The sequence below is a fragment of the Homo sapiens genome, chromosome 4, assembly GCF_000001405.40.
Source record: "Homo sapiens chromosome 4, GRCh38.p14 Primary Assembly".
Taxonomy (NCBI): Eukaryota; Metazoa; Chordata; class Mammalia; order Primates; family Hominidae; genus Homo; species Homo sapiens.
In genome coordinates, this window is record NC_000004.12 from 163,051,450 (window position 1) to 163,059,344 (window position 7,895).

The window sequence follows — 7,895 nt, forward strand, 5'->3', positions numbered from 1 at the left end:
GCCTTTTCATCTCTCCTTGCCTCTTCCATTCATCAAGTGCTCTTAGCCTGACTTTATGCTTTCAGTGTGTTTGAAGTACACAGATGTAGACCCAGCATCTGTCTGCTCTATTCTGTAACAGAAAGTGTTCTCTGCTGAAGTGACAATCCACAGAGTAACTACCATGAGTTAGTTTCCCAACAATTCACTAGGGCCTTTCAATAAAAATAGTTACATATTGTTCTCAAAATAAGAAGTGATATTTCTTCTAATAACTGAACAGAAAGGGACAGGTGGAGTCGCTAGTTTCCATTAGTAGCAAATTTTGTTTCATTAGTAGCAAATTTTCTCAAAGTTCGTAGCACTAAGATATTTAAAGAGAAAACAGAAGGAGAAACACACCAAAAAAATTGTGTAGTGTGGCTCACAGTACACACAATGCCCATTAGTAGTAGTAGCAGCAGCATTAAGACAGGAGCTCGCTCTGTCTCCCATTACTATTAATAATAATTAATGACAGGTAAGAAAACATTTCATGGTATGGGGAAATCATATTGCTTTATATATGAGAAATTTGTATCGGATATAAAAATAAATGAGTTGTTGTGTTTCTCCAGTGAAAACAATAATAAAGAAATATTCAAACTAAAAACACATTCATTTTTATCCAAGTTTGTCATGCATTTTTTTTTTCTTTTTTTTTTTGAGACGGAGTCTCACTCTGTCACCTAGGCCAGTGTGCAGTGATGCGATCTTGGCTCACTGCAACCTCCACCTCCTGGGTTCAAGTGATTCTCCTGCCTCAGCCTCCCAAGTAGCTGGGATTACAGGTGCCTGCCACCACGCCCAGCTAATTTTTGTATTTTTAGTAGGGATGGGGTTTCACTGTGTTGGCCAGGCTGGTTTCTAATTCATGACCTCAGGTGATCCACCCACTTTGGCCTCCCAAAGTGCTGGGATTACAGGCATGAGCTACGGCCCCCAGTCTGTCATGCATTCTTATGCTAAATAGGGAGTAATGGTAGAATGTGCTGTATTTATTCATCTAGCATTTGTGGATGTACAGTGCATGAAACTGATAGGGAAGGCATCACCATGAAGTAGTATGAAGCAATTTTATTTTAACATAACAAATGGCAAAATAACCAGATAAAGAAAAGAGCAGAAAGAGCTAATTTTTCAAAAATCGAGATAATACCAGCTTTTAGTCATATAGTTTGATGAATCCCTAGATGTTGATGATAACTAAAATGGAAAATGGAATATCTTAGCAGGCCAGCACCTGAACTCTGTCAAAGGTGTGCTCGTGAATATTTGTAAGATGTTTTTATTAGTGCTTGCCTCCGTTATAATGGTTGAAATTGCTAAAGGAACTTCAGCAAAATCAGAGAACATAAAATTTCCTATGGAAAGGACTCCTAGGATCCTAACTGTACTGTAGGTTTTAGGTGGTCACACAAAATACCTTAGAATTTCACCTATAATGGAAAAGGATTATTTTTAAGTCAATAGACAAACTTATAGTCCTTAATCCATTACTAACTAGATAAATGCCTTGAGGAACTCAGATAATGTGTCTTGTTTCTGATTTCTTCACATGTAAAATTCAACTATATTTAACAAATATTTATTGAACTTGTCCTAGGAAGTGGATGGATGTCAGCAACATGAGAAAAAAGAAGACACAGTTTGTCTTTCTTGCTCTTCAATTATGACAAACTCTGTTTGTCTTTTGAGTATTGTGAAGTGAGATAGTTGATTAAAAGATCATACTAAAAGTATCAAAAGGAAGAGATAAGAGTTGAAACAAACAGAGGTGCTGTCCTGTTATCAGAGTGAGAGCCACCTGTGTCATTTATTATCAACTCAAACTTAGACATTCCTATTGGCTTATCATTGGCCAGGTTCCAGGTATCATGAACGTTCTGTACTGCCATTTTTAATGTAAGCCTCACTCAAGTATTTAACAGAGCAACTAGGAAAAGAAAACTAAATGAACATTGTCCCACTGACTGCAATATGAACTAATCTTCACATTGGGACCAAGGATAACAGTAAATAAGGGATGCTGGGGAACAAGTGGTTGCTGACTCCTATTCCTCACATTGATCTACTGGTCTTTTAGATAAAGTTGATAAATCCCTGTTTGACTATTTACCGAGGTAATTGATTTACCCAGAATTGATTGCTGTCTAGAAAGTTTAAGCAGTCTCTTAGATTCTTAAATATACATTCCTCAAGATTCTGTAAGTTTATCTAGACACATCACCAGGAATTAAACATTAAATGATACTACCTTTGCTTTCCAAAAGAGTTCCATCCATGAGTTAAAATATGATACATTCTAAATACAGACATGATACATATTAATATAGGAAAGGTTATTTAGAAGCTTGCTTCTCTATAACTTTTGCAATCATTCAACTAAACTTCTTTCGCCAACCCTTAAACCTTGGATTCTTGCTAAACCTTGGATATTTAACTGGGTTTCAGAAGATGTATGAACTCTCCCAAATTTAATGCAAAAAAAAAAAAAGTCTTTTCTTTCTGGGCCCGATTGGAGATAGATCTGGTGCTTTCATCATCTTCTCAAAGGAGTCAGGAGTCTGTCATCTTTTAAAAACATTATGAACCACTCACTCATTGCTCTGCTTGTAAGTCCTAGATTTAGAAGGGTATTATATTCTAAGCACATTGTTCCCCTAAAGAATCTTCCCTGTGATTCAGAGTCATACATATCACCCTACACTTCTTTCCACACTGAAAATGATAGTAGTTTTCATGATCTGTTTATATGTCTGTGGAGTGTAGGAGGAGTAAGAAAAGGTTGGGATAGGTAACCAAGTTACTATATAATTGAAAATGGTGACAGATTTCTTGGATACTTCACTTGGATATATGAGTAAAAGTTGGGAGAGACACGGCTGGAATTATGATTTGATCCACTTTCTGATGGAGAGAACAGAGCATAATTATATGTCAACTGATGATCATGAATCAAGCTTCAGATGATATTCAGGCAGGTTGCCATGATTATATTTGCTGCTCTTTCAGTTTTAGAAAGACAAGTGAAGGCAGCAGCTATTCTCCTTTGGATCTGCATGACCTTGCACCAGAGGTCCCTGCAATGTTTCATCTCAATATTTCATCTTACTTCCACAATCTTTAACTAGGAAGCTATTTTATTTTATTTTTATTTTTATTTTACTTCAAGTTCCAGGATACATGCGCAGAACGTGCAGGTTTGTTACATGGGTATACATGTGCCATGGTGGTTTGCTCACCTAGCAATCCATCATCTAGGTTTTAAGCCCTTTGTGCATGAGCTATTTGTCCTGATACTCTCCCTCCCCTCACCCACCACCCCTCCAGCAGGCTCTGATGTGTGTTGTTCCCCTCACAGGGAGGGGTTCTCATTACTGAACTCCCACTTATGTTTCTCATTACTCAACTCCCACTTATGAATGAGAACATGTGGTGTTTGGTTTTCTGTTCCTGTGTTTGCTGAGGATGATGGCTTCCAGCTTCATCCATGTCCCTGCAAAGGACATGATCTCATTCTTTTTTATGGCAGCATAGCATTGCATGGTGTATATATATCACATTTTCTTTATCCAGTCTATCATTGATGGGCATTTGGGTCCTTTCCATTACTTTATTGTTGTGAATACTGCTGCGATAAACATACATGTGCATGTGTCTTTATAGTAGAAAGATTTATATTCCTTTGGGTATATACCCAGTAATGGGATTGCTAGATCAAATGGTATTTTTGGTTCTAGATCCTTGAAGAATCGCCACACTGTCTTCCACAATGGTTGAACTAATTTACATTCCCACCAACAGTGTAAAAGTGTTCCTATTTCTCCACGTCCTCACCAGCATCTATTGTTTATTGATTTTGTAATAATTGCCATTCTGATTGGCATGAGATGGTATCTCATTGTAGTTTTGAATTGCATTTCTCTAATGATCAGTGATGTTGAGCTTTTTTTCATATGTTTCTTGGCCACATAAATGTCTTCTTTTAGAAGTGTCTGTTCATATCCTTCGCCCACTTTTTGATGGGGTTGTTTTTTCCTTGTAAATTTGTTTAAGTTCCTTGTGGATTCTGGATGTTAGACCTTTGTCACATGGGTAGATTGCAAAAGTTTTCTCCCATTCTGTAGGTTGCCTGCTCACTCATGATAGTTTCTTTTGCTGTGCAGAAGCTGTTTAATTTAATTAGATCTCACTTGTCAATTTTAGCTTTTGTTACAATTGCTTTTGGTATTTTGGTCATGAAATCTTTACCCATGCCTGTGTCCTGAATGGTATTGCTTTGGTTTTCTTCTAGCATTTTTAAGGTTTGGGGTTTTACATTTAAGTCTTTAATCCATCTTGAGTTAATTTTTGTGTAAAGTGTAAGAAAGGGGTCCAGTTTCAGTTTTCTGTATATGGCTAGCCAGTTTTCCCAGCACCATTTATTAAATAGGGAATCCTTTCCTCATTGCTTGTTTTTTGTCAGGTTTGTCAAAGATCAGATTGTTGCAGATGTGTGGTGGTATTTCTGAGATCTGTGTTCTGTTCCATTGGACTATATGTCTGTTTTGGTACCAATACCATGCTCTTTTGGTTACTGTAGCCTTGTAGTATAGTTTAAAGTCAGGTAGTGTAATGCCTCCAGCTTTGTTCTTTTTGCTTAGGATTGCCTTGGCTATACAGGCTCTTTTTTGGCTTCATATGAAATTTAAAGCAGTTTTTTCCAATTCTGTGAAGAATGTCAGTGGTAGTTTGATGGAAACAGCATTGACTCTATAAATTACCTTGGGCAGTGTGGCCATTTTCATGATATTTATTCTTCCTATCTATGATGATGGAACGTTTTTCCATTTGTTTGTATCCTCTCTATCTCCTTGAGCAGTGTTTTGTAGTTCTACTTGAAGAGCCCCTTCACGTCCCTTGTTAGCTGTGTTCCCAGATATTTCATTCTCTTTGTAGCAACTGTGAATGGGAGTTCATTCATTCTACTTGTCTATTGTAGGTGTATAGAAATGCTTGTGATTTTTGCACATTGATTTTGTGTCCTAAGACTTTGCTGAAGTTGCTTATCAGCTTAAGGAGTTTTTAGGCTGAGACAATGGAGTTTTCTAAATATAGAATCAAGTCCTCTGCAAACAGAAATAATCTGACTTCGTCTCTTCCTATTCGAGTACACTTTATTTCTTTCTCTTGCCTGATTGCCCTGGCCAGAACTTCCAATACTATGTTGAATAGGAGTGGTGAGAGAGGGCATCCTTGTCTTGTGCCAGTTTTCAAAGGGAATGCTTCCAGCTTTTGTCCATTCAGTATGATATTGGCTGTGCATTTATCATACATGGCTCTTATTATTTTGAGATATGTTCCATCAATACCCAGTTTATTGAGAGTTTTTAACATGAAGGTATGTTGAATTTTATCAAAGGCCTTTTCTGAATCTATTAAGATAATCATGTGGTTTTTGTCATTGGTTCTGTTTACATGATGGATTACGTTTATTGATTTGTGTATGTTGGAACAGGCTTGCATCCCAGGGATGAAGCCGACTTGATCGTGGTGGATAAGCTTTTTGTTGTGCTGCTGGATTCAGTTTGCCAGTATTTTATTGAGGATTTTCACATTGATGTTCATCAGGGATATTGGCCTGAAGTTTTCTTTTATTATTGTGTCTCTGCCAGGTTTTGGTATCAGGGTGATGTGGGCCTTATAAAATGAGTTAGGGAGGAGTCACTCCTTTTCAATTGTTTGGAGTAGTTTCAGAAGGAATGGTACCAGCTCCTCTTTGTACCTCTGGTAGAATTTGGCTGTTAATCCATCTGGTCCTCGGCTTTTTTGATTGGTAGGCTATTAATTACTGCCTCCATTTCAGAACTTGTTATTGGTCTATTCAGGGATTTGACTTCCTGGTTTAGTCTTGGGGGTGTATGTGTCCAGGAATGTATCCATTTCTTCTAGATTTTCTAGTTTATTTGCATAGAGGTCTTTATAGTATTTTCTGAGGGTGGTTTGTATTTCCGTGGGGTCAGTGGTGATAGCCCTTTCATCATTTTTTATTGTTTATTTGATTCTTCCCTTATTTGTCTAGCTAGTGTTCTATCTATTTTGTTAATTTTTTAAAATACAGTTCTTGAATTCATTAATTTTTGAAGGGTTTTTCATGTCTCTACTTCAGTTCTGTTATGATCTTAGTTATTTCTTATCTTCTGCTAGCTTTTGGATTTGTTTGCTCTTGCTTTTATAGTTCTTTTAATTGTGACATTAGGGTGTCGATTTGAGATCTTTCTAGCTTTCTGATGTGGGCATTTAGTGCTATAAATTTCCCTCTTAACACCACTTTAGCTGTATCCCAGAGATTCTGGTATGTTTTGTCTTTGTTCTCATTGGTTTCAAAGAACTTCTTGATTTCTGCCTTAATTTCATTATTTTTCCAGGAGTCATTCAAGAGTAGGTTGTTCAAGTTCTATGTAGTTGTGTGGTTTTGAGTGAGTTTCTTAATCCTGAATTCTAATTTGATTGCACTGTGGTCTGAAAGACTGTTCTTATAATTTCAGTTCTTTTGCATTTGCTGAGGAGTGTTTTACTTCCAATTATGTGGTTGATTTTAAAATAAGTGCCACATGACACTGAGAAGAATCTATATTCTGTTAGTTTGGGGTGGAGAGTTCTGTAGATGTCTATTAGGTTCACTTGATCCAGAGCTGAGTTCAAGTCCTGGATATCCATGTTAATTTTCTGTCTGGTTGATCTGTCTAATATTGACAGTGGGGAGTTAAGTTCTCACACTATTATTGTGTGGGAGTCTATGTCTCTTTGCAAGTCTCTAAGAACTTGTTTTATGAATCTGGGTGCACCTGTATTTGGTGCATATATATTTAGGATAGTTAGCTCTTCTTGATGAATTGATCCCTTTATCATTATGTAATGCCCTTCTTTGTCTTTTTTGAGCTTTGTCAGTTTAAAATCTGTTTTATCAGAGATTAGGAATGCATCCTTTTTCTTTTTCTTTTCTTTTTTTCTTTTGCTTTCCATTTGCTTGGTAAATTTTCCTCCATCTCTTTTGAGCCTGTGTGTGTCTTTACATGTGAGATGGGTCCCTGAATACAGTGCACCAGTGGGTCTTGCCTGTTTATCTAATTTGCCAGTCTGTGTCTTTTAATCGGAGCATTTAGCCCATTTACATTTAAGGTTAATATTGTTATGTGTGAATTTGATCCTGTCATCATGATGCTAGCTAGCACACGCTAGTTGATGCAGTTTCATCATAGTGTCATTGGTCTTTATATTTTGGTGTGTTTTTGCAGTGGCTTGTACCAGTTTTTCCTTTCCATATTTAGTGAGGAAGCTATTTTCTAACTTCATGAGTGTTCCTAGCAATTCATAGGTTAATCACCCATTAGAGTCTCAAGAACCTGGAGATTTGTTGAAGTCAGTAATGGTTTCCTAAGGAATGAAGCAGGCATAGATTTTTACCTCTTTCTTTATAACTTTATATTTTGACATCATGTTGGCTCTGAGTTGGATGAATATCCCATTTCCATTTTCTGTAGCAAACAGGAAGCTAAACATGATGTTTTATTATCATAACATAGCATTGCGATTACACTAGCTTTGCTATACCATTGAATACCACCCCAAGGGATAGCTTAAGATAAACTATTAGAAGTCTCAAATTATATTTTTAGTAGCAAACCTCTAAAATTGTATTGGCTTAAATCTCACAAGACAGAACATTTTATTCTCTAAATAGTCTAAGTTATACTGTTGGTTTAAACAATAGCATAAATAAAATGTCCTGAAAAATTTTGGCAGTCATAGAAGACATCATCAAAAGATCACAGTGCCAAATGACATCTACAGGTTAGGTCCCATTTATATTTATACCAGTTTACAGTAAATTT

At 36.6% G+C, this 7,895-nt stretch overlaps 1 annotated feature.

The window, feature by feature from the left end:
- Positions 529-698: an enhancer, noted in NCBI's record as "experimental_75656 CRE fragment used in MPRA reporter constructs". NCBI's record gives its function as "activates a minimal promoter by MPRAs in K562 erythroleukemia cells, with activity observed for both the introgressed and non-introgressed 4:163973215 variant alleles {active_cell/tissue: K562}" and the evidence as "EXISTENCE:reporter gene assay evidence [ECO:0000049][PMID:34662402]".